The sequence below is a fragment of the Homo sapiens genome, chromosome 4 (genome assembly GCF_000001405.40).
Source record: "Homo sapiens chromosome 4, GRCh38.p14 Primary Assembly".
Taxonomy (NCBI): domain Eukaryota; kingdom Metazoa; phylum Chordata; class Mammalia; order Primates; family Hominidae; genus Homo; species Homo sapiens.
In genome coordinates, this window is record NC_000004.12 from 161,912,773 (window position 1) to 161,939,546 (window position 26,774).

Here is a 26,774-nt window from a genome sequence, read left to right on the forward strand (position 1 = left end):
AGACAGGAAAAGGTGGGAAAGTTTGGAAACTCCTAGCGACTTCTTGAATGGCTTGGACAAAAATGGTGATAATGATATGAACAATAAGATCCAGACTGAGGTGGTCTCAGAAGGAGATAAGAAAATTCTTGGGAGTTGGAGCAAAGGTGACTCTTTTTATGTTTTAGCAAAGAGACTGGTGGCACTTTGCCCCTGCCCCAGAAATTTGTGGAACTCTGAACTTGAAAGATATGATTTAGGGTATCTGGTGGAAAAAATTTCTAAGCAGCAAAGCATTCAAGAGCTGACTTGGGTGCCATAAAAAACATTCCATTTTAAAAGGGAAACAGAGCATAAAAGTTCAAAAAAAATTTCAGCCTGACAATGCAGTAGAAAAGAAAAGCACATTTTTGAGGAGAAATTCAAAGCGGCTACAGGAATTTGTATAAGCAGCAAGGAGCCTAATGTTAATCTCCAAGACCATGGGGAAAATGTCTCCAGGCCATGCCAGAGACCTTCATGGCAGCCGCTTCCATCACAGGCCCGGAGGCCCAGGAAGAAAAAGTGGTTTGGTAGGCTGGGTCCAGGGTCACTGTGTTGTGTGCAGCCTAGGGACTTGGTGCCCTGCGTCCCAGTCACTCCAGCCATGGCTGAAAGGGGCCAAGATACAGCTTGGGCTGTGCCTTCAGAGGGTAGAAGCCCCAAGCCCTGGCAGCTTCCATGTGGCATTGAGCCTGCGTGTGCACAGAAGTCAAGAATTGATGTTTGGGAACCTCCACCTAGATTTCAGAAGATGTATGGAAATGCTGTCAGTTGACAGCTTGCACCATGCACCTGGAAAAGCCACAGATACTCAATGCCAGCCATGAAAGCAGCCAGGAGGGAGTCTGTACCCTGCAAAGCCACAGTGGCAGAGCTACCCAAGACCATGGGAACCAGCGTGACCTGGATGTGAGACCTGGTGTCAAAGGAGATAATTTTGGATGTTTGAAATTTGACTGCCCTGCGGGATTTTGGACTTGCTTGGGCCCTGTAACCCCTTGGTTTTGGCCAATTTCTCTCACTTGGAATGGCTGTATTTACCCCAATACCTGTACCCGCATTGTATCTAGGAAGTAATTAGCTTGCTTTTGATTTTACAGGCTCATAGGTGGAAGGGATTTCCCTTGTTTCAGATGAGACTTTGGACTGTGGACTTTTGGGTTAATGCTGAAATTAGTTAAAACTTCGGGGGACTGTTGGGAAGGCATGATTGGTTTTGAAATGTGAGAACATGAGATTTGGAGGGACCAGGGGTGGAATGATATGGTTTAGCTGTGTCCCCACCCAAATCTCAATTTGAATTGTATCTCCCAGAATTCCACGTGCTGTGGGAGAGACAAAGTAGAAGAAAAAATATTTGAACTGACGAAATGTTCTTGTTTTTTTATGTCACTTTTGACTATTGTGCCCATGACTAGTAGTGGAATATCCATAAATCTATCAAAAAACACAAAATAAAATAGTAAGCTCAAACACATATTTCACACCTTGAAACTAAGAAAAAAGAAATAGCATGAAAATGTATAAAAACAAGATAAAATTGTCTAAGGATTTGAATGTTAAAGTTAATTCTTATATATATATCACAGGGGAAAATTTGACAGAAATTAAATGCAATAACAAACCCACTTCATAATCACTAAAATATTTTTTGGGGGAGAAATGTAGTGGGGTAGTAAAATAATATTAAGTTATAGATCTAATAGATATTCTATTTGTCATAAAAGATAAACAAAATTAACCTGCATAAATCATCAGTAAGAAAAATGACAATGAATTTTACAAATGTCAATCAATAACAAATATATTTCCAAACTCATTGTAGTTATTTTTTCTTTAAATATAATTATCTAAAATTGGAAAATTGATCACCACCAATTAGCCTATTATAATCTTGTAAACTCATTTCTATGTTAATTTGACCAGATACAATACTATAACTGAATATAAACTCAAAAGAAAATATGGATGACTTCACAGACTCAAGTCTGAAAATTTATTATAATCAAATGTGTACATTTACTAAAGTTCTAGTCTTAAACCCAATAATAATTTCTTATTGTGTTCTTCTGTTGGCCAAGAATTACATTAAATGCATGATTTAATCTTCACCAATACCATAGATGGTAGATTGTTTCTAAATGATGTCAAGTATTCATATAGAAATCACTATTAAAAGTAAAATGTATTAAGAAACATAGGCAAGTGAGATATTACAATATTGTAGCCTTAGGCAGACATATTTGGAACAAACATGCACTAGATGGGAAGCCTCTGCCCTTTGGTTCCTGTCCCAGTTCAGGTTAACTTACTGTGAGAATGTTGATGGGCCATTTTTAAAACTGTAAGTTTGTTGCCTTCACTATAGTATATTGGCTTTTTAGAATGATTAATTAATAATTTAACATTTGTGAAATTGTTTTGAAATAAATAATACTCAATTTGTTATTATTATTATCACTAGTCCTGCTGGCATTCTCTGTATCTCTTCCCCCCATCATCCCCCTCCCCCTCTCCCTACCTGTCTCTCTTCTCTTCCTCTCCATTTGTCTCCTTTCTCCCACCTTCCCACTCTCTGGTAACATTTGTTGAATAGTCCTAATGTCTAATATCCCAAAATCCCAAAATGAGTGATGAGTCTGCCTAAGTATTAATCACCTTTTTAGATTTTATTATATTTTATTATACATATATAAAACATCTATCATATGTCTCCTATGTATTTATAAATGGCAGGTAAACATATAAAATATGTAAGGTTTCACATCACCGAATTAAAAAATGTTAACATAGATGTACCAAACATAAGGGATTAATAAAATTGTTTTTGATGTTGTGGGTACTAAGGGAATTCAGAGGAACTGGAAACACTGTGTGACAGTATTCTGGCCTCGAAAATTTTATCTACATTTCTTATTGTCCAAATTATGTATTTCATCATCAACATGCAGTTTCAATTGTCTAATACTGACAACAAAAACAAAACAGAACAAACAAACAAAAATCTGGATATCATTTTTCAATGTATATAGATTTATTCAGGCTGCTATTTTTGTTTAAATGGTATAAAAGGCTGTATTAACATAAAACAGAAGCTTTACAAAGGTGCCCTTATTTAAAAAATACATGTGGATTAGCACATGACATTTACTAATATATTTTAAAATATATCTGGCAGCCAGTTTTTTAGCCTAAATTCTACAAGTTCCTTCTTAAAAAAAAAAGAAAGAAGAAAAGAAAAAAGTCAGGTAAAATAACTAATTTAAATATGTAATACAAAAGTCTGTTCAGATTATGCCTCAAAAATGGAAACAATGTCAGATTTCATGCTAACAGTGCACAGATCGCTGTGACAACCATATTTCTCAAGTTGTTATTGCTTGTGATGCACATTTAAGTGCACAGAACATTTACCTTTATGGCAGTTTTATTCTCAGCACAGTAAATAGCAGAAGGGTTTCTGTTCAATTGACTCTCATAAAAGGTTTAAATCCCTTTTCATTTTGGCATAGGTTATATCTTAAGTTTCTTACTCCAGTTTACATCTATACTCTGAGTAGTATAGATGTTTTGTATGAGGGAATGACCTGATGCCAGGGTGAAAGGAAATTGTACTTGCTTTAAGGGATGTTGTGAATTGCTGCAGTTAGAAAGCCCTTTGTGAGAGAAATGACTTTAAGGCAGAACTGTCTCATCACAAAAATGAACAGCTAGGCATTTTATAAAAATAGAATGTTTTATGTTACGTTGAGCATCATCACAAAGTATCTGACGCCAATAAACAAATGCTACAATATTCTATATCCGATTATAGCCTGTTATTTCATAATCAAATAAATGTGAATAGGAATAAATTAGACAAATATTATATTCATAGGTATATTGTTTATTTTATCTATAGTTCTACAAATCATAAATCACTAAAAAAATTATTGGTAAATTTACGTGTATATTTAAAAGTCAATAATAATAAAAAATGCTAAGATTAACACAGAGGTATTTCAATATGTAACACAAGTAATAGAAAGAGGATATACAGATATAGGTATATAAAAAATATTTTATATAGAAATGTAGATGATTTAACATGGATTTTAACTTTAAAACAATGCATCAATACACCTGATTCTACAAATACAAATTATTTTAATAAGTTTTTCTTTTTTTCTTTTGAGACAGAGTCTTGCTCTGCCACCCAGGCTAGAGTGCAGTGATGCAATCTCCGTTCACTGCAACTGCAACCTCTGCCTCCTAGGTTCAACCAGTTATCTGCCTCAGCCTCCTGAGTAGCTGGGATTACAGGCGTCTGCCACCACACCTGACTAATTTTTTTGTATTTTTTTTAGTAGAGACGGGGTTTCACCAAGTTGGCCGGGCTGGTATTGAACTCCTGGCCTCGTGATCCACCCGCCTCGGCCTCCCAAAGTCCTGGGATTGCAGGCATGAGCCACCGCGCCCAACCTTTAATAAGTTTAAACATAAATGCCAAATATAAATCTGATATAAACAAACAGGACTTACCTTGAAGTGCAAATCAGTAAGGAATAATGCAAATCTTGCTTTCTTTAAAAGCTTTTACGTATTTTCCAATATTTTTCCAGGACTTTTTAATTAAAATTTTCTTTGTGAGATGCATTTGTCAGAAATAATACAGACATATCCCATATATCTTTACCTAGTTTCTCTTAAAGATAATATTTTGTATTATTATAGCACAATATCCTAACCAGGATATTGACTTTAATACTATCCCTGGGTCTTACTAAGATTTCCTGTTTTATTTCCACTGTTTGCGTATATATTTAGTTCTACTTAATTTTGCCACATATGTAAGTCTCTGTATTCATCAAGATAGTCAAGAAGATACAGAATAGTAAAGATCTGCTAATAATTTTTAAAATAAATTTTAAAGTACCAATAAACTTTTAAAGCAGGGGTTAACAAACTTTTTCTGAAAAGATCCACATAAGAAGATGTTTAGCATTTAGAGGCCATAAAATCTCCATTGCAAGTACTCAACTCTCCTTTCCCAATGGGTGTAGCTGTGTTTCAGTAAAACATTACGGAAAAATAGATTGTGACCTGGATTTGGCCAATAGTTTTTTAACTCCCATTCTAAGGTTTTCATAATCACCTTTTAAAAATCTAAAAGTAGCAAATATATTTTCCATTTTTTTATTTAACTTTTCATTTTTTCTTTAAAAAATCCCTAAATGAATATAAGGTTTTGCAGTTCTTTAACCTAATATTTCGATTTGCTTCTTCCATTGGGCCACTATAGCAAGTAATATAACTTGCTGAAACTCCACAAAAAATATAATTCACAATTATAAAATTAATTTTAGCTATCACAATAATATCAGGCCTCAGCTTTACAGAATCTTCTTTTACAATCAAAACTTGGCCCAATGCACACTAATAAGACAGGCAATTTATTGTTTTGGTTTATATTATTTACTCCTTTCTGATGAAATAAAGTAATTTTATGAGTTAGTTGTATTTTAGGCAAAACACCAAGTTAAGTACATAAGCAAACAAAAGACCCATAATTTCTGAGACCTGGAAAATACGCTAAACTTTGGTAAATAACCCAGACAGTATAAATGAAATTTTAACACTACACATGATGAGAAAGTATTTTTAAGTAACAATAGATCTCATAAATATGTTTGGTATAAGCTCAAAGAACAAAAGTTCTTCAAACCATTATTTTATACATTTACTTTATAATAAAATCAATCTATTGTTCATGCATCCTATCCTGACATTGAATGGTATTATTCCTAAGCATACAGCTACAAAACAGAACATTAAATACAACAAACTATTTTCCCACGATATTTATTTATATTTATTTATTTATTTTTTTGAGACGGGGTCTCGCTCTGTTGCCTAGGCTGGAGTGCAGTGGTGCTATCTCGGCTCACTGCAACCTCCGCCTCCTGGGTTCAAGAGATTCTCCCACCTCAGCCTCCCGAGTGGCTGGGATAGAGGCACCCGCCATCATGCCCAGCTAATTTTTGTATTTTTGTAGAGATGGGGTTTCATCATATTGGCCAGGCTGGTTTTGAACTCCTGACTTCAGGTGATCTGCCCACCTTGGCCTCCGAAAGTGCTGGGATTACCAGGGTGAGCCACCATGCCAGGACCCCACATGATATTAAATATTATGTGTTTCCATATGGATGTCAGGTGAACAAACCCTCAATTTGAGAATATGATGCTAAGTTAAAATATTTTGATAGTTACATATTATATATTATGTACATAATTTCATAGTGTCAAGTATCAGTGCAATAGTATAATTTCCACCATACCATCTTGTGTCAAAATGACAGAAAAAAATTCCCTAATATTTTACAAATATTATTTGTAAAATAGATTTGATAGAAAAGGGAACTAAACTGAACTTGAAATCTAAGTATCTGTTATCCTTTTGGTAAAAGAACTGTCATAAAATTCTCTGCACATGTATGTAAGAGGCACACAGTACACTATGGTAAGTAAATTATCCCAGTTTTACTTCAAATGTGTTAAAGGATTTCTAGCAGCAACAATAACAGAGCATTGCATCTTGCATCATCTGAAAAGCTCTACATGTCATTTTTAAATCACGATGGAAATAATATTGTGTTAGAGAAAGTTTGAAAAAGGATAATTTTTAATTATTCAATTTACCTTAATAGGTGGATGAGTGGAGTGTAATAAAATTATTTTTCAGCCATAAATTTAAGCTAGGAGTAAAAATATTAAACAGGTTTTTAAGTGTAAATACGTTTCAGAAATATTCTGAGAAACTGGGACTTGGCACTGACCAAAGGTTAGAAGTCAGATTAATTATTGATGGAAGTTCTACACATTTAACTCTAGAATTTCAGACTGAGTCATGACTATAAACGAGAAAATATTTCCAACAGCATGAACAAGTAAACAACAAATAAATGTATAAAAACTGAATGATGTTAAAACTGTTCAATGATTTATTTATGTGGCATGTAAAAATAATGTATGGAATTACAAATTCAGTACTTTTCTAAACCAATGATTTTCAAATGCATGAAAGTGAATACCAGTACTTTAAAAAAAATTTAACTATGGTTATCTCTGATTCACTAATGAGATTTAGCATGAGTTCTTCTAGTTATTTCAGTGGGCAACTACTGGTTCCTTATAATTTGAATTATGTGGTGCAAACTGAAACCATCGTTTTTAATCAGGAAGGAATGAAATGTTATCACAGCATGGCTTGGCACTCACTAGTCCCTCAATTCCACTCCAGGTGCTTTTTACTGGGTGAATTTGGCCTGTAGACTGAATTGGCCACCCTGTGTCCCTAAGAAAATCCATGATTGGGAAGCCATATGGTGCAATGCTGAAAGCTATATTAAATTTTGAGTCATATTTTGGCCAGCTTTATTCTCATAACTGAATATCAGAATTGTTTCCATGTAAATTTCCACACACTGCTACTTAGTGGAGTACTTAGGCTATTTTGTGTTTCTTTTCCTTTTTAGACCCTTGCTGATATAAAATTGCTAGAGTTTAAAGGCACTAGTTGAGAAAGAAAAGAAATAGAGTGGGGTGACACTTAAGGTTCACCCTTCATTTACCTTTAAAGAAGCAGTCTTCATTGTGAACAATGGTAATCTTTTGTTTTTTCAGGCAAGCAGCTCTGTGCACTTCACAGTGGTTTTCATAGAATTCTCCGTCAGATCCACACACAGGTTTGTAGTGACGTTTGCAAAGGTCCATACAGGCACATTCTGCTTGCCCTGTCTCTCTGCTGGTAACACAGTGTCTTCCCAAACCACAGTACTTATTTTCACAAGATCCAAAAGGGCCATCCTGAATCATAAATCCTGAAGAATTAAAAAAAAATTGAAAATCGTTTGGTTCATTTGTCCAAATAATATATATATTTCAGAGTATCAAGTGGAAAACAAGTGTTCTAAGAAAAGTATAGTATAGTGTATTCAGGGCTCAATTTTCAGTGGTGGACATGCTTATATAAATAACTGCACATGAACTTTCTCAAAATGCTTTCAGTATTCTTCCCTTCTTCCTCTCCTCTACTTGAGCTCTCTTCTCCCTCCCCAGAGAAGTGTAGTGCTTAATGACAAGGTCTGTAAAGCTAAATAAACTGCCTGAGACTAAATCCTGGCTTGACCACTTACTAGCTTTATGTTTTGGATAAATTCCTTCCTTGTGCCAAGTTGTCCCATCTGTAACATGGGAATAATAGTATGGACCATCTCTACAGTTGTTCGAACTATTACATGTGATAATCCACAGAAAGCACATCCTTGGCACATGATAGATGTTCCATAAATGTTAGCTTTTACAGTAACAGAATTGTAGATAGGAGAAAGTAATGTATGCATACAAGGCAGAAAATGTTAAGAAGACAGGAGTGGAAAATAACTGTCTCTTGAAAACTTTGATACATGATCCTTTCTTGTTTTGACCTTTGCCACCTGACAATCACTGATGCATATCATGACTAAATCAACAAATCATGAAGAATTATATTTTCTTGTTACTTATTTAGTCTAATAAACTCAATTTGCATCAGAAAAGTTTAAGTGAATCCACCAATCTTGTACTAAGGCTGAAATTAGCAACTTCAATTCCTTATGCTTTTCTAGGCAGATTTAGCTTTGAGAATTTTAGAAAATGAAAAATGGCAGTAAATTGAATATACATATGCACATAGATACACATAGATATGTATACACATGTATACACACATACATTTGTATATATATTTAGCATCAATGACACTTATGTATTGCAAAAAAGAAATATTTGAAAGGTTACAAGCATAAGTTACAGTAATTTTTTGAGTAGTTAGTATGTATTAATATTCTCAGCTGTTTGTTTAAACCATCTCTACATAACAGCATCATAATAATTAAGAACATGGATTCTGATCCAGAGTTTAAATCCCTAGTTGCAAGCTTTAGGGCCCTAGGTGACTACCTAACACATCTGTAACTCACGTGTAACTCAGTTTCCTCATCTGTAAAATAGGGATAACAATAGTGTATCCTCATAGTTTTATCAAGATTAAAGGGTTGCAATTGGCACATATAAAACTCCTTGTGTTACTTACTATTAACAGCTCTTCAAAAATTGGTTTTCAAAAGGACATAAATATGTGAATGGAAATGTATTTAAGTAATCAATTTTGTTCTTTTGTAAAGGAAGCTCATACATTAATTTTATTTTCATATTTATGCATGAATTCTCAAATGGAATTTAAATTAGCAAAATTAAAATTACACAAAAAGATCAACAGTACCAATGGCATATTTTTTAAAAACTAATTTATATTTCTGATAGCAGTGAAAATTAGAACAAATCTACTTGTAAAAAATTTCAAACTATTTGACTCTTTGATAAAATATTATAATTATTGATGAAGGATTCCATGAAATTTAAAACAAATAGGTGGAAAAATAATTTATTGAAAAGATATTTCCGATGTATCTCCAATGTTATTTTAAATATTGATAACTCACTGAAATATTTTAATACCTGAGTGATGAAATAATCTGTATAATAAACTCTCATGACACACATTTACTTATGTAACCAACCTGTATATGTACCCCTGAAATTAAAATTTAAAAAACTTAGCAAAAAATCAATTTTGGAAAATTTATGTAATGCAGTAGTTCTTGAATTTTGGCATGCTTACAATCACCCAGAGAAGTTGTTAATATACAAATTTTTTCTCCACCTCACCCCAGAGTTTCTGATTCAGTGGATCTCAAGTCTAATCCAAGACTTATATTTCTAACAAGTTCCCAGGTGATGGTGATATTTCTGCTTCCAGGATCAAACTTTAGGGCACTGACTTACTGAAATCCTAACTTATAATTAAAATATATATACTAAGAGAAAGACTAGGTGAATAATTTTAAAATGCTCTTAAGTGGAAAAAGATGAGAAGTTAATGCTATCATCAAAACCTTATAAAATCATGCAATTATTTGGAAGATACTAGGAAAAGAAATTTAAAAATGAATATAGTTGATTTAGCAAGGTTGATATGGTACTGGGCAAGTTTTGCTATTTTTACATGATTGCTTTTTAATGTTCATTATGCTAAATTAAATAAGCAGGAGTCCATTAGTTTGAAGGTGTCTCTGTATTTTGAGTTCCTAAGTGAGAAACTGTACCCTAACTTATTAGTAAGTAAACAAGCCAAAACTGATTTTAAGAATATATTGTTATAACAAATAACCAGGTTTCAGCCAATCACAGGAAATCAATTTATCAGATCAGTTTCAAAAAGGCAAATGCTTCTTCCAACCATGCCCAAATAACATAGATGCCTCGTGGTAGCCAAGCAGGTCATTTATTTACTTTGCTTCTATGTTTGGCCTATAATAGCTCATTGCTAGATGGAGCTTTCTGAATCTCTTTTGGTCCTGAGGGCTGCCAGATTCCTGAATTGTTCTTTGTGCAAATAAACTCTGTTAAATTTAATTTATCTAAACTTTAAAAAAAATTAATGTACTGAAAGAAAATCCAAAATTATATCAATTATTACTATAAAATAAAGTAGAAAAATACTTTAATGTAAAGTATAAAAATACTGATTTCAAAACAGAAAAATATTTCCCCATCCTTATGCCAGTTTTTAATTAAGCAAATTGTTAATTCAATGTTTATAGAGTCTATATGGGGCTGCCATTATAATAGATAAATTTGACTCACATATTTATATTTTGTATAATTTTATGTCATATTTTTTCCATCAAATAATGAGTTAAGATTTTTCAAGAGAGTGTTTTGTTTATTTTAGTATTGAAGAATGAGCTAATGTTTTAAGAGTCTGATCATTTTACATTTTAGTCACAAATTGAGGTAGCTTTATGAATCAGTGAAATTTTCCAATTTTTAGGGGAATGCTCTCCTATAACATGTCATATCTAGTATATATAGGTTGGTCACAATATTTCCCATATTTTCTCTTAAATCCTTTCTCTTAAAGCCTCTACACTAGTTCAGAGATTTATATTAGGATATTTTCCATTTTGTAGAAGTTAATGAACTATTTTACACTAGCTAGAAGCTGTGTGTTGCATGTAGCTGCTACAATTAAACGAAATTTAATTAATTCATATGCAATCCAAAGAAAGCTCATATTATGTAAATGAATAGCTAGAACATACCCTTTCTGACAGTAATTATCCATGACTAATGCCGAACTTAAGTTTCAGCTGAGATTAAATCAATTTAATCTGATCAACGTGTCAAAGATTTCTTCTAAGTACATTCAGTCAGATAACACACTAAATGAATTTTAATCAAGAACTTATATCCTGGTAGCTTATAGTTTTATCAAATAGCATTTACTCCTAAAAAAGGATTATATATTTAACAAATTCATATTTTATAATTTTTATTCCTTCAGAATATTAGAAAAATTCCACAAATTTAAAAAGAGATAAAAATATTAAAAGACTAAACATACCAAGCAATAAAGCAAAATCATTCCCTATTATTCTAAGATGGCATTTTCAGATTCTCAATAATGAATAAAATTATCTTAAAATATATATTTATATTTATATTCTTGTCTATATGTATATCTAATATATCAGCTGATACTTATAGAGTGTATCTAAATTGAAATAAACTTTAATTTTAATAATATACAATTATTTTTATGAGCAAGGTGGTATATTGGTTGGTATATGATACATAAAAAGAATAATCATTGACACTTGACTCTTCAAGTGGCTTACAAAGAGCGTAAGATAGGACTTGAACATGCTTAAGTAGAGAGACTAAGATTTAGGGGGACATTTAAGGGCACAAAGGAGATTGAGATCATGTAAGACCTCACAAACAATGTACCATGTAATACAAATAACTGAGGCTGTGTTTAAAGAATGAGTTAAGAGTCTAATGGCTGATAAAAGGATATACAGGGCATGGAATAGAGACAGAAGCAGGATTTAAAACAATAATAAAGAGGGAGGGAAGAACCAGATTTTGAAGTTAGCTGCCTTTAACTATTATTATGGAATATTAATATATTGTTGTATTTAAAGCGTCAAGTTATTTGAGGTGTTCATTATCTCATAAAAATGTTTTATGTTAAAGTAAAAAATGTAAGTATTATGTTCACAATTATTGGTTAAAAAGAACAACAGATTTTGGTCATAGAACAGAATTTGAGTCTTTGCTTTTCTGTTCCACTCTGGTGTGACCTCAACCAGGCTGCAATCCCTTTGGGCCTTATTGGGTTCTAGTTGTAAAATAAGAGGTAACCAGCAATTTATCTTTGGATTTGCTCTCATCCAAAAAATCCTTTAATGTAATAATGCTCAGCAAAACGCAGTTCTAATGAAAGCTAATGTATGGTGAGTATATTTAGTAAGTTTTCTCTATAATATCTATTATTTATAGTTCACCTGCCTTGAACAATCATATACTTCTTAATTTAAATCATATTTACATACTCTAGAAATAGCCTCGGCTATACAAAATGCAAAAGAATTTTGACTTTGACTTTCTAAATTACTCTTCTAAGATTTTGATTTACTTTTTGTTTCATGCTAATATGGTGCAAAAGTAATTGTGGTTTTTGCCATTACTTTCAATAGGTTTTTACAATTTGGGTTTTAAAATCAGAATCCTCTATTTGTATTTTGACTACATGTATGATTTTTAGGCAAGTTACTTAAAATCACTGAGCTTCAGTTTTCTCATTTAACTAGAACATAGTAGGAACTCAGTAACTGTTACTTCCATGAATATATAAAATGAAGATAATAATAATTACAGTAATAATGATATCATGTGGTTGTTAAGAATATTAAGTAGAATAATGCACTGAAAATTCCTGGCATAGAGTATCTGCTTAACAAATGTATTCATTACTGTTATTAAGAATTATCATTTATTACAGATTTGGTACATAGAACATATTGACTTAGAATCATTGAATTAAATAGATAACTGCCCTCTACAGCTCTTGTTATTATTATAAGCATTGGAAATGCATTTAGGGGAGTGTGGCAGCATGTGTGTTCTCAAAATATACTCTTAAAATTTTCATGGACTTTCACTGTATAAGAATTTACTTCAGCTGCAAAAAGTAAAAAAGGAAGAAGGAAAAATTCAAAATTACATTACACAATTAAATATTTTGATTTAGAATTAAGTATAATATTTTGGTGATGTTTTGATTCCCACAAATGGAAAAATTGTGAAACTATTACATAAAAAATACAATTTCCTGTTGCACACTGTAAATTCTAACAAAATGCATTCGAACCTCACAAACTTCATGGCAAGGGGCAGTTCAAGTAAATACTGGAATGCCCACAGAAGATTGAGCACAGTATAATCTTTTCATGACCTGTAATAATTGGGATGTGTGTTTCCTGCTGCTACTTTGCAGTCGGTCAAAAAAGGCTGCCTGACTAAAAGTTTGCCCAGTGTGCCACTACTGAACGACAATCCTTTTCAACGGTCACATAATCTGTAGTTCAGTGAGTTTGAACCCTTCTTTTCTCCCTTATTTTAGACAATCCATTGGTTCTGCAAGCTTCTTCATGTAATTCTGCAACAGAAGAAGGTTTTTTTTTTTTGTTTTGTTTTTTGTTTTTTTACAAGAGGCCGTATGAAAATAATAAGTAGAAAAAAGCCAGAGATCCAGGTAATTTGCACCCATCCAAATTATAATTTCTGTTTCATGTTAATGAATGTTTGCTAGGAGATATAATTTTTGATGTGTCATTTCAAGAAGTTAAGTGATTTGAGATCAGTACCTAATATGGCAACAGTTATTTCTTATTTGATGTTCTCAACTGAAGTGTGATAATTCTGAAAGCAGAACAGAGTGTGATGCAATCTCAACACTCTTTCCAACCTCAATGCTTAAACTTGATAACAAATTCCACAAAGGATTTTCTAATTATTAATTTTTCCTTTCTAAGTTCTATCTAAAGCGGTGATTTCTCTTATTATCTTAATATCTCCATCCCATTGAAAAATTACAGTAGTACTTATCATTATACACTTTGGCTAAAAGTGAAAGGACTTATTTAGATGATAAGTTGGTTAGAAGCCAAAGAAATTTCACTGTTTCCCTTAGAACTACTTTAACATTATAAATAGATTGGTAGATACAGAGACAGAAAGACACGTAGACCATATGTGAATTTATGATATTTAAGGTCTTCTTTTAGATAACTAAGATTTGTGAATATTAGAAACAAAATATTTGTTCTAAAGTGTTTTAATTCAGTAAATTATTTGAGTGACACTCAGAAAAAAGTGATTTTTTTGCTAAATAGTTAGCTGCCACTGTCATCTATAAACCATGTTGATCTAGATAATAAATAGGAAAATAAATCAATTAACATAAATAAAAATAGTATTTTATTTTATATAAATCTATGCAATGAGAGAAAAGGCATATGCTAAATCATCTGCAAGACTTAAAATATTTCAGGCTTTGGAATAAACCCAACACTTAAAAAATATCTTATTTCTTATTAAAATTTAAAATAGCAGATAGATATTCTCAAATGAGAAAGGCATTTTTTGCAATGATTTAAAAAATTAAACAGCATATTAACATTTTTTAAGTGAAGGTCAAGCATTGTAATACAAGGGTAGATTTGTCCAGCCAAACTTCAGACTATAATGTTTATTGTTAAAGTCAGTCCAGCAATATGGTTAATATATTTTTTAATGAAGATATAGTAATTTCTGTTATAATTATAAAAATAAACGGCTGCTAGAAAAGGAATATTATATTTTTTAAGTTTTAACTTTAAAATCAACGCTAGTAAATTATCTTTTTACAATATACTTTTTTCCTTTATTAGAGTAAAATTGAAACCAAATAGTGTATTAATTTAAAAAGTAAATATTGGTCATTAAAACTATTATTTTCATGAAGAAGAATTAGATTTTCCAAATATATTAAGCATTAAAATGCAAAAATGCATTTAATTTCTTCAGAAGAAATGTATTTTTTCTTTATGATGAAGTGTAATACATTGATATTTACTTTTTTAAATTAAGAGACTGTTTTTTAGAGCAATATAATGTTCACAGCCAAACTGAATGGCAAGTACAGAGTTCCCATATATTCCCTTCCCACAGAAACACACAACCTTCCCCACCATTAACACCCTAACATTAACACCATTAACACACTAGTACCTAGTGTGGTACTTCGTTAATATCCACTAATCAATTTTTCCAGACCATTATGAGCTCAAGTCAATCCCTCCAAGTTTTACCCTGAACCCTCAGCAATTGCTGATATATTTAATGGCTCTATAATAGTTTTGCCTTCTCTAGAATATCATAAAGTTGGAATTATACAATATGTAGGCTTTTATCATGGACTTATTTCATTTAATGATATGGATTTAAGATTCCTCCTTGTCCATGTTTGGCTTCCTAGCTCATTTCTCTTAACTGCTGGAAAATATCCCATTGTATGGATTACCATGGTTTATTTATCCATTCACCTACTGAAGGGCATCTTAGTTGCTTCTCAGGTTTGGCATTGTAAATAAAGTGAGTTGCTATAAATATTTATGTACAGGTTTTTGTGTAAGACACAGAGTTTCTGTTCATTTGGGTAAATATTAAAATATACTATTGTTACTATAGATCGGATGGCAAGGTCATATTTAGTTTTATAAAAAACTACCAAACTGTCTTCCAAAGTGACTGTTCCATTTTGCATTCCCACCAGCAATGAATGAGAGTTTTTCGTTGTTCTATATCCTCATCAGTAGTTAGTGTCTGCAATGTTTTGGATTTTTACCATTCAATTAGGTAGTTGTGGTATCTTGAAGTTTTAATTTGCAATTCCATAATCATAACATAAGATTGATTGAGCGTATTTTCATATGTTTGTTTACCATTTGCAAATCATCTTCAGTGAGATGTTGATTTTAGTATTTACCCATTTTTATTGTGAAGGTTTAAGAATTTGTATATTTTGTGTACCAGTCTGTTATCGGATGTGTCTTTGCAAATATTTTCTCCCAATCTGTAGCATGTCTTCTCAATCTCATGACAGTGGTTTTTGCAGAGAAATTTTTAATTATAATTAAGTCCAACTCATCAATTTTTCCTTTCACTTATTATCCTTTGTTATTGTAACTAAAATGTCTTCACCAAACTCAGCCTCTTAGATGTCCTCCATAGAGATCATCTAGGAGTTTTATAGTTGTGCATATTGCATTTAAATTTGTGATTCAAGCTGAATTTTTTTTGAATTACATAAGGTCTGTGACTAGATTTGTCTTCCTTCCTTACTTCCTTCCTCCCTCCTTCCCTCCCTCCCTCTGTTGCTCTCTCTCTTTCTTTCCTTTCTTTCTCTTTTTTAAATATGGATATCCAGTGCTTCAGCACCATTTGTTGACAAGAATATCCTTTCTTCATTTAATTAGCTTTGCTTTTTTTTTTTGTCAGAGATCAGTTAACTCTAATGGTATGGGTCTGTTTCTGGGCCCTCTACTCTGTTCCATCACTCTTTTTTTGTCTTTCCTTTCTCCAGCACCATACTGTCTTGACTACTGCAGCTTTAAAGTACATATTGAAGTCAGATAGCTCAATATGCCTGTCTTCTTCTCCTTCAATATTCTGTCAGATCATCTAAATCTTTTGCTTTGCCATATAAACTTTAGAATCCGTTTGTCTATATCTAAAAAGTAAGCTGGGATTTTCAATTGTGTGATATTTATTTTTATGAATTTTTTTGTGGAATGTACATAACTGGAAGTGACTTTAAATGTTGCCAGTGAACTAAATTACTGGAACAATACACTCAATCATAATCTTAACTACCACTCTAGCAGATGTAGGTAGGCACGTGTGTGTGTGTGTGTGTGTGTGTGTGTGTGTGTGTGTGTGTACATAGTTTAAACTTGGAAATTATAGCTTAGAAAAACATCTAGTGCAAAAGCCCAATACACAAAATAATCAAAAGTGTCACCATTCTGATTAAAGCAGGGGTGACAGTGAGTCCCAGGTATGGCTTCCCTCAGTCTCTCTGACATCCAGTAAGGAAAAAGTGAAAAATTCAGGATTTCTACAGAGTGCTGGACTAAATGATGTCTCATTTTTCCCTCAAATTTATAATTTTTGATGTGTGGCTGGTTATTTTTACTCCACATTTTCTTCACACCTAATGCATTAGAAACAATGTCAGATTTTTTAAGAGCCATATTTATAATAGTTGCCTTAACATCAGTTTTGGGGAAAGATCCTTTAAATTCCTGAGTTTTTCTGGCCTTGAGTCATAATCAGTGATGTAGTGATTAGTGCTTAACAAAAGGCACTGTGTTTGTAGCATTCTCTGGTTTCTGTGTTGTAAAATACTCCCACAGTGTCTGATCTGCAGCTACAAACAAGACATCACAGCTGAATTTAAGAAGACATGTGGGCAGCCAGCTCTTATAAACCAGTATAAACCAGCAAAACTAAATTCTTAGCTTTGGCATAAATCTAAATAGAGTCAATGATTAACAATGTTTTCTTCCCCAAACCCCTCTATGGTTGAATTAAAATACTGATTAGTTCATTAATTTCTTCAACAAACTTTTGCACTGGAAATAAAGAGAACCTTATTTTCTAAGAATCAACTTATTACCATATGCAAAGCACTATGCTTCCATGAGAAAGTTTAAAAATATTATATCAGTCATTTTTAAAGCTTTTTTTTTCTCTTTTGAGGATTACACCAATGTTAGTAGCGTTTTCAAAATAGCAAAACATAAGAAGTAAATACAGTGTCTTCAGGTTCAGAACACAGGGTTCACCACTGATACAATTCTGGTTGCTAGTCACATGATCACTCAAGTTCCTTGGATAGTTAAAAAAAATCAGGATGCAAAGCGCTCTATCTATGCTCGTAAACTCATTTGCTTCAACTCTCTACCTCTCTGCTCCAACAGATGTGTTTTAAATCCATTTCATAACTAATTTCTCCAAAAACTTTGTTTATCCCTTGAATTATTTCATTTCCCCTAGCTTAGGTGTTTGGAATAATTGCAAGCTTTTTCAGATTTCCAAGTGCTTATATTCCTTTCCCGGAGCAAAAGACACGGAGTCAATCTGCTGCCTGAATTAGACAAAGGCGAAGGGGGAAATAATAAATACTACCTCAAAAGTATTATACCACTATGATAAAAGAAGGGAACTTAACTCTGTCTAGTAGGGCTCCCAGAAAGCATTCTAAAGAAGAAAAGTCTGGCACTACATAGAAATTAGGGATGTGGACAATAGATGCGTAAAAGGATATTTTAAGCAAAGGTATGAATATATGAGTAGGTTGATCTAATGCTGCCAAAGGGGAGAGATTATGATTATGATTGTTACAAGATGTTAGAGAATTAGGGAGAAGATGATAATAGCCTTGCACAATATGTTTAGGATGTGTCACTGGGACCGTAGAAGCTGATCTTTAATAGCTTTAAGGAGTCTGTGGAGGATAGAAAAGAAAACAACAGGAGTCAGGAAGCCACTACCTTGGTCTAGGTGAATATAGTGTGAGTCAAACAAGAACAGCTATAAGAAATCAATTTATGGAGCAATATAGTATAAGTTGGAAAGAGAAGAGACAAAGAGGGTAGTTTTGCACAAAAGGAAAGGAGTTAAGAGTGATTATAAATAAAGACAATTTTTGTAAGCAGCATTATGAGAAGTGGAGGAAATTCTTGGACAGTAGACTCAATATTCTTGTACAATAATAACAATGTGATAATATTATTGCTTAATGAGCATTTTATGTGGTCTACATGTATTATTTAATTTAACAATATACCAATATGAAAATTTTATTTTCACATTTTCAAATGAATAAACTGGTGGTCACAAATTTTAAGTTTTTGGACTGCAAAGAAAGTGGATGCCAGATTTGAGCCTTAAAGTCAGATAGGTCTGACTGATTAAAAGTGCATGTTTTCAGTCTTAATGTTGTATGCTTTCTTTGCAGTAGGTGGTAAGTTCCTCTCTCCTGTGGAAGACAAGTCATTTGTTAACAGCAACAACATTCTAAAATGGTCATTTTTAGTATAAAGAAGATAAATAATGGGCTATGGACTAAGATGGCATCACTCCCAATGGTACAGTCCAAACATCTTCAATTGTACCAGTGTGCCAAGTTATAATGTTATTTTTCAGCAAAACTCAGTCATTTCAAGTATGATGGTAGAGAAGTAAGGTTACGGGACTATTTAGAGTAACGGTTCTAATTGTCAGGTGTAGTGGCAGTATTTGAATAGATAAAAAGCAGAAGCAATTAAGAAAAAATGTATTGCAGACTGGACACAAAAAATAGGGTTCAAGTTGGGTAAACAAAGCATAGTTTTTCAAATTCTTGCCTGTAAATTTAATTTAGTATATTAATGTCACTTACAGTAAAATAATTAAGTCCAACATATTCTTTTCAACTGAAGCAACAATCTGTTGTGATGGTTCTCTAATATATAAAAATAAGAAATTTTTCTTTCCACCCATAACAAGAGACTATTTTTAAATCTAAAATTGCCAAGATCTTTAGTTTTTTGTTAGATACTGTTTATCGTCTTTTTATTCATAAGCTTTGATACTTATCTGCCTTCCTCATATGTCTGAAAATTAAGCTCCCCATTGCATATACATAAGTTAATGGTCTTAAAACTAATTATCCTGACAATAACAATGGCTATCCTATAAGAATGTGTATATATAAATATATACATACATATATGTAAATATATGTATGTTTGTATTTTAAAATCTCATGTAGCCCCTGGACCACTGTGATTTTTCCATCTTTGTGTCTTATTGATTTATTTATATCCTATAGCTCTATAACTTTTGTTTTTGAACTATATCACTTGGCTTATTATTTCATACTTTTCTGATGAGCCAATATGATTTTTCAAGTTGTTCCATATTTATGTCTTTTGCAAATTTGAAATCTTCACTCATTCATAAAATAAAATTAATATTTTTAAACTCATTACTTATCCAAAGTAAAAGTTTCCCAGTTATTTTTAAATATTATTTTATTAATGTTATTGGTTAGCTGAAATTCCTAGGCTTCTAAATGTTTGATTGTTCTTCCCATCACTAGCTTTTGGTCACATTCAAGCTATTGATAAATTCTCTACAAGTTATAAAATAAAACAAAGCTAAACAATACAATACATCAAGAAATTATCTTTTCATAAACATTTTAGTTTGCGTATGATAATCTTCTCTACACTTGCTTTTATATCCTGTGTAAATTGCTTAGATAATAACATTGCTATTTTACTGTCCATTTTACATTGTTGGCCGACACGCATGGCGGGTTAGGTATATATTTAGAGGAAAGTGTGACATGGTCTGGCACCTCACTCTCCCTACACTGCCAATGTATTGGACATTGCTGGTCTTTGCCGGTTTTCTCTGATTATGCCTTTCAGACAGCACAGCCACAGGATCCCACTAGATTGCTATTTCATGGTGTGTCACCCTTGGTGACTGTCCTTGTTTCTTTCCTCTGCCCACCTTCTCAATTCTGGCTCATGTTGAGGTTGTGTTATAAAAGTCTCTACAGAAAAATAATCACCTAAGCACTGAAAAAGATACTAAGATACATGTCATGTGCTTAGGTCCTGAAGCCTTATATTTTAGTAATGATATGAGATAGTTAAAACATGAATATTTCATAAGTTAAAAAAGTTGTCACATGAGAGATACAGAATTATATAAATTTTTGTAGGAGAAAAACATCTATTTTGAGAGAAAAAAAAGCTTCCTAATAGAACTCAGATTTGATCATGGATTTTTTTTTTTTAATGATTAGGATTTTCAAGGTGGAAAATGGTTACAAAAGAAGAACACAGAAATACAGAAAACCAGTAATCTTTGTCCCCTAAACCTCAACTCGTCTATCATTTTTATATTACCCTTATAAGTGGTTTCAGAGTGATAATTCCCTAAATCAATAAGCCAATCTGTACAGTTATCCCAATAAAAGAAACCTAGCAAAACTTACTATGTCTCCTTTTAGCTGATTTTTAAATTATTATTTACCACATATGTTTGCTTACATTGAAAACAGCACTGAAATCACTTTTTCTACGTAGTTAGCTCTTTAAGTGGTAGCACTGAAGTAGGAAGAGTAAGAAAACATATCTCCTAAACAAGTCTGTCTTCTAATACTAATAACTACCATTTTTCTATACTGACCTAAGCATTTTCTTCCCATCATTTGATGGGAAGACCTCATTTGATCTTTGTAACAATCTTAAATGCTACTTGTTTCTTGTTTTACAAATAAAGAAGAAACTAGCTCCAAATAGTTACTTATCATGTCCCAGCTTAAGCATAGTAAGTGATGGAGCCAGGCTTCAAACTTATGCTTTCTTGAACTATTAACCATCACATTATTCTGCCTGTACTTTGCTCCTATCAATGTTTATAGTTCTAGCAAACAATATGGAAGATATTTATTATAGACAATTGGAAATATAAAACTTGAGCACAGTAGAAACTCAGGGGATCTTAATTTGACATCGCTGTATATAAAATCATAGGTGAAGACATGAGTTAATGTGATAGAAGAAAAGAAAGTATTTATAGAAAGAAGGTTGGGAAGTATAGCAACTGGCCTTTCAAATAGTTTATCAAAAAAAATTGGACTGCCCTCAGTCATGAAATAACTCATATGTAACTTTTTAAAAACCTCATATGATCAGTAGTGTTTAGAAGCATTTGATCTGACCTTCTATTGCCTGAGTTTGAAACCTGGTTCCATCAGTAACTAGCTGTGTAATTTTAGAATTTTGTGGGGTTTTTTTTCGTTCTTTCTTTTTGCTTTAATTTTCTCATCTGTAAAATGGAGATATTAATAGAACTGATTTCATAGATATAAATCAATGTATGCAAATCTCTTAAAATAGTGTCTGCCAGACATTACAACTGCTATGTTAGACATTATGACAGACTATAAAATAGTGTCTTTCAGCACCTTAATGTCTGCTATCATTAACATCAATATCATGCCCCTGTTATTATTTTATTTCATTCTAAAAAACAACCAAAGAAGTAGGCAATCTGCAAAGAAGTTATAATCCAAAGTTTGTGTGCTATTTAATAATTATTGAAACAATACTTAAAATGATACATTCTCAGGTTAGCCCACAAACTCTACTTAAACCTAGATGGTTCAATTATGGTGCATACTGATGATGTAATGTAACTTTAACAAAATATGACCAGCAATTTACTTTTAAATCTCATAACTATATTTCATATATTTTAGGCAATTTCCTGTGCTCACTGTAAACTTGTATGGTAATGGAAATTAGAACTGCTCCAGTTCCTAGTTAATGATTCTATTTAGCACGAGAGCTCTTGTGTTGCAGGGCAGTTGTAAGGGGTCAGTAAAGAGAAGGATGAGATTCCAAGGCAGTAGGGAGAGAAACCTTTGGACACTAGTAATTCCTATCATTTTTGCTTTCAAGAGGATATTTATTACCAACTTATTCTCTGTGTTAGGTACACAACATCAGTGATGCAGAATCTTTGCCTTTCCTCAACAATGGGTGCTCAAAAAGGTCAAACACCTGTGATGTCTTTCTGAAAAGATAGATTTATACTGATTCAGTTCCATCTTCTTACTGATTACTGTCCTCATAGAACTAAGGAAGTTAGTGTTAATTGAATGCACTTCCATCATAAAAAATTTGATTGACATTTAGTGCTACCTAGACAAAGATCTCTTTAAATACCACAGAGAGGTAATTAAAAATTGGACATCTTGGCAGGACTGTTCATGGAAATCTTCTAGAGAATATGAAGGTTTTTTTAAAGCTCGTGGATATCAAATTTTTCCTCCTCCTTTGCACATGTCTCCATTGCTTCTGAGAGTCCTTTTTGTTCTTTCTCATGGTCCCCATATTCAACTTGTATCCATTCTGCCCAATTAACAGATTTTCTTCCTTGACCTCTCTACGTTTCCAATGGTAGGATGAATCTACACATGCTTCACAAATCATTTTATGAGAAATGCACAGAATGAGAAAGCACAGAATTGAAGACCTTCTCCTATTCATTTTATTAAAAACAAAAGCAGGCTAGGTGAGGTGGCCCATGCCTGGAAATCCCAGCACTTTAAGAGGCCAAGGCAGGAGTGTCACCTGAGGTCAGGAGGACGAGACCAGCCTGGCCAACATGGTGAAACCCTGTCTCTACTAAAAATACAAACATTAGCTGGGCCTGGATCATGCATGTAATCCCAGCTACTCAAAAGGCTGAGGCATGAGATTCGCTTGAACCCAGGAGGCAGAGATTGCATTCAGCTGAGATCAACTATTTTACCCAATACAGAGCTTCCTTCAATGGAATAGAGATTAGTTTGTTAATAGCTGTGAATTTAGGTAATTGTAGGAATAAAGAAAGCAATGAAAGTTCTTTTGCATATATCTACACATATACATAATTTACATAATCTAAGTGTGTGTATGTATGTGTATATGCTACTATACATATGTTTTCCTCTTAAGTGAACTGCTAATTTACTATGGTATATTGAAGATATAAACATTATTTTGCTATCTTCTTAAACCCTTTGAGACAACTAAAAATACTTTAAAATAGATCTGCAAGGATGAAGAGAACTGGAGGAAACAAACAAAATATTGGAATCTTGTAAGAATATAGATAGGTGGGAACTGTCTTAGTGGCACTAAGCAAGCTGAATCCCAACTTTGTGGTTGGTAAAGCTGCAAACCTTATTTATACACAGTTTCCTCAGATAAATTAGCAATACCAAGTACCGCAGGAAATGAAAATGACAGTGATTACTAAAATATGGAGGCCTGTTGAAAATTATGTGCAAAGTCAATAAATTGCCAGATCCCCTCCCTTATGCAATCCTGGTAGAAACCTGCAGGTTTATTCTTTCAGGACACAGCTAAACCATATGGAATCTGGAGAGTACCGCAAGCTGAATGCCATAAAAAGCAGCCCTCTACCACAGTGCATTCCACCCCAGCCTCTGGCAGGAATGTTGAAAGCCATAATCTTAGCCATCAGGCAGATTATTCAGATTCTTCTTTGAAGAACTTTTTATGTAAAATTGGGAGTTCCCTAAAAATGATTCACCCAGGTCACTCACAGGAAAGGTGATGGTTGAAAAACCTTACTCAGTGCTCAGAAATTCTAAGTCAGATTTTCAATGTCCTTTTCTTAATCAAGAACAAAAAGCCAGCATTAAGTAGGCATGTGAGTAAACCCTCTAACATGAAAGATAAGACCAAAATAAACAAACAGATTAAAACAATGTGAAATGAGTCAATGCAGTTAAAAAATACTGTAAAAACACAACATAACAAAACCTGTAATTTATATCCTCAGAGAAATGAGATAATAGCCAATAAATGAAATAAAAACAAAAGGAAACTTTATAAAAATCAATGATGTAACAGATAGGAGAAAAAAATGTAAAACAACATAGACATCACTTCCAGAATTCCAAAGTCCAAATAATAGAAGGTCCAGATGGAGAGGGAAGGAAAACAGATGGTAGGACATAATTAATAAAATTATTAAAATATTTCCCAGAACTGAAGGACATGAATTGCCAACTTGAGAGAGTTCACCCAGTGCACAGTAAAATGAATTAGAATAGACACATATCATGGCACACTGTAACATTTAAAAATATTGAAGACAAAAACAATTTGCTACAAGCCTCCAGAAAGAAAAATAAAATGCTCTATCATACAAAATGAATTAGGCATTAAATTTGATTCTGACTTCTCAGCAGCAACAGGGAAGTCTAGAAGGCCATAAAGCAGTATACAATTCTGGGGGAAAGAACTCTGTGCTGATTATGGCCCTAATCTTGCTCTCCTTTTCATGCCCTGATACTGAGTCAGCTACCAATACATTTTTCTCCCCAAAGAGGTATTTCTGCTTTAGCATGCTCCTCAGCACTGGAGGTAAGCAATGGCAAACTTAGAAGCCAAAGATCAGCATCTCTCCTCCTCATATACGTGTGCTGTACTTTTTGGTGTCTGGTCCACAATTTAGCCCTGCCAGTTGCCCTGCTTATTGAAATATTCCTGAACTTTCAGATATTCTAATGAGGTTTTCCTCTGACATCATCTCACCTTTCTAGCAACATGTCCAGTTTCTTTGTCTAACTACCACTCATCATATAGGTCTCATCTTACATGACTTCTCTTTTAACAGACCTTCCTTTACACTTTTCCTTTATACTCTTCCTTACATCACTTTAATATTAAAGTAGATCCCTTTCACCACCACCATTCATCAATATCAATGTACTTTTGTAGAACTCTGTGTTTTCTCTGCATAACACCTAAAAAATTGTGATTAGAGAGCTACTAGTTTAAATATTTGTTTACTATTGACACTCAATAAATCTGTGTTCCAAGAGAGCAAAGATCCATCTTTTTGTTCAAAAACTGTATCATCAGTAACTAGCAGAGTCTCTGGTGATCTTGATAAGGGCATAAGTAAATGCTTCATACACTAATTTATTTATTTTATGCAAAAACAATAAAAAATGTATTATCAAATTTCACTAAAATTTAAAATATTTTACAGTTTTATAGATGTATGCCATTTAAAAGTTATATATAAACATATAGGTAGATATGGATATCCAGCAAAAATGATTCTTTTAAAATACCATAAATTGGGCAGAGAATTGTTTCTATGAGAAATATTACGCAAAAAATATGTCATAAGAAACACTGGTGTACACCTTCATCTTTTTTGTATGATGGTTAATTAAAATGGATACAATTGGGTGGTTGGAATAGTAAAATTTCCAAAGCTGAAAAATAATAAACTGGTCAAATAATGCATAGTTTATTAAATTTGGCATCCTAAAGAAATATTGGAATGTATATTACATATCGAAATAATTGCCTTTGATTTCTACTTTGTCAGAGCACTTGGTTATAAGATCCTTTTAATAATTTATTAGCTGTATTCTTATGAATAAGCATTGTCTTTATTTTAAACTTTTCTGTATAGGGAACTGGTTATTCTTAATTTATCCTTAAACTTAAGTATTTTTTTTAATTGGTGACATAAGGCACGGAACAGGTTTCCAGCATCAAATGTTAATTAGCTTATTAATCAATAATTTAAAAATCATATTTGTTGCTTTAGTCCTCAGTTAAAAGGGCAATTAGCATAAAAATATATTTAGAAGAAAATGTAGTCACAGAGAAAGAGAATGACATTGGGTATAGTATATCACTTTTCTAGTTTTAACTGATATCATTAGTTACATTATCCAAGAAATGCAAAGGATGTTGATAAAATAATTTAATTACTACATTGTACTACATGCCACTATTTTCTATATTGGCAAGCAAATTGTAAAAACATTCAATAATAAGGAAGATTCATTTAAAAAATAAGCTTCTCTGATTTTCTTAGAATAAATAATTTTAAAATATCTCCATGTATTAAATTGGAACAGTGAGCAAAAAATATAATGATTAAAAGGCATATTTTTGCTTATATTATGGTACTTATGACTTGAAATCATATTGAAATATTTGTAAATATAAGAGCTTTCTTTTTACTCTCTGTATATTACATTCTTTAGAATATTTTTATTTAAGTCCCAAATAATTAAAATAAGATTTATTTCTGTTTTAAGGTTATCTAAGCAGTGGTTTTAGTGTTTTCTTCTTGATAACCTGTAGCTGATTCTCGTGCACTTTGCAATCAGG

The 26,774-nt window shown here is 32.6% G+C and overlaps 1 protein-coding gene across 4 annotated transcripts in view, besides 1 other annotated feature; it reads right to left on the bottom strand.

Moving 5' to 3' along the window:
- The window catches only part of FSTL5 (follistatin like 5), a 780,104-nt gene that overhangs the window by 528,876 nt on the left and 224,454 nt on the right, over positions 1-26,774 (bottom strand). For all 4 annotated transcript variants that reach the window (NM_001128428.3, NM_001128427.3, XM_011532126.1 and 1 more), the window contains exon 4: positions 7,632-7,880. In NM_001128428.3, the coding sequence (NP_001121900.1) occupies positions 7,632-7,880 (249 nt within the window). The remainder of the gene's footprint in view (positions 1-7,631; positions 7,881-26,774) is intronic.
- Positions 23,470-24,669: an enhancer, noted in NCBI's record as "CDK7 strongly-dependent group 2 enhancer chr4:162857394-162858593 (GRCh37/hg19 assembly coordinates)". NCBI's record gives its function as "activates an origin of replication core promoter dependent on BRD2, BRD4, P300/CBP, MED14 and CDK7 cofactors, with strong dependence on CDK7, by STARR-seq in HCT116 cells {active_cell/tissue: HCT116}" and the evidence as "EXISTENCE:reporter gene assay evidence [ECO:0000049][PMID:35650434]".